Below are 1,881 nucleotides of genomic sequence, written 5' to 3'. Positions count from 1 at the left end.
CTAATCCCAGCTTCCCATCCTCCTTGGTGACGGGCCACCTCTGCACAGCTGGAGGAATGGTACATCAGAGTGCATCTTCTTTTTATTTTATTTTTTAGAGACAGGGCCTCACTCTGTCACCCAGGCTGGAGTGCAATGGTGCTGTCATAGCTCATTGCGGCCTTGAATTCTGGGTTCAAGCGATCCTCCTGCCTCAGCCTCCCAAGTAGCTGGGACTACAGGGGTGAGACACTGCACCTGGCCAGAGCACCTTATTCTTGCTATTTCTTGCTCATCGGTTTGACTAATGTGATGTCATCAATATAGTGTGATATTGGTTTTGATTTAATGTCTTGGCCTGGGTGAGAGGGTGGTTTCAGTGCCATCCACTGGGCCTTTCCTATTATAACATTATTTTCTTGCTTTACAGATCAAGAGACCAATATGACAGTTCCACTAACTGGTAAGTATGTCCATTCCAATTATACATTCAGTAACTGGCAAACTGACCCCCAGGTGGGTCTGTGGACCTGAGCCAGGACTTCATTTATCACAGGCTCCTGTGATGGTTAATACTGGGTGTCAACTTGATTGGATTGAAGGATGCAAAGTATTGATCCTGGGTTTGTCTGTGAGAATGTTGCCAAAAGAGATTAACATTTGAGTCAGTGAGCTGGGGAAAGCAGATCCACCCTTAATCTGGTGGGCACAATCTAGTCAGCTGCCAACAAATATAAAGCAGGCAGAAAAACATGAAAAAGAGAGACTGGTCTAGCCTCCCAGCCTCCATCTTTCTCCCATGCTGGATGCTTCCTGCCCTCAAACATCAGACTCCAAGTTCTTCAGTTTTGGAACTCGGACTTGTTTTCCTTGCTCCTTAGCTTGCAGACAGCCTATTGTGGGACCTTGTGATTGTATAAGTTAATATTTAATAAACTCCCCTTTATATATATGTATATGTATATATATACACACACACACATATATGTATATGTATAAACACACACACACACACACACACACACACATATATATATATATATATATCCTATTAGTTCTGTCCCTCTAGAGAACCCTGACTAATATAGTTCCCATATATCCTTAACTGAACAGGAAGACCTATATTGCTTTGAGTGTCAACCTTAATATTCTAACAGCATTAGAGAAATCTGGGCATTCTGCTTTCCCCATTGCATGGTGATCTGAGTACATGGCTATAGATAACTTTGGGGAAGGTCTGGGGAAATTACCTCTTTCTACATCTGCCATAGGATGGCAGGTGTTTCCCACAGGGACCCAGCCTTTCCTTCAATAGATGGGTTCCAGGTGCAAGAACTGGCTTAGGTCTGGAAAGCAAGCAAGGGATCATGACTTTCCATTTGGGGTAGCTGACCTCATCCTTCTGCTCATCCCTGCTTGGTCTTTAAGATCAACATGACACACATTATAATATATTTATTCCAACTTTTGTTGGCTACCCATCTCTCTTGCTCCTACTAATATCATTTTCTTTTGCTGTCTCCATAGATCTTTGCAGATCAACACTCCCTGGATACGTTTTCAACCTTTCTATTCATTAAGGTGACTTGCTTCTGATGGTTCAGCACTGCAGGTGGCCTCTCCTCTTCAAGGACCCTTTCATCCCTGTTGCTGTTAGAGGCTCCAGTTCTGTAACAGCATCTCCTCTCTAGGGAACAGCCTCCCCCCACCCGCTCTGAGCTTCTCTGCAGTGCTGGCGCTCCCAAAAACTCACTCCTTGGTGTCTTGGTACACGAGTCTCCTCCAGATCCTGCCGAGAATCAGGCTGGGGAGAGCAGATCCAACTGGCACGCTCAGTTCTCTAGGCCTTCCTCCACAGTCTGCCTGGAAACTTTTTCCAGGCTTCCAACTGTCATATTAGAA

This window comes from Homo sapiens, chromosome 10 (genome assembly GCF_000001405.40).
Source record: "Homo sapiens chromosome 10, GRCh38.p14 Primary Assembly".
Taxonomy (NCBI): Eukaryota; Metazoa; Chordata; class Mammalia; order Primates; family Hominidae; genus Homo; species Homo sapiens.
This window is presented reverse-complemented; position numbering follows the sequence as displayed.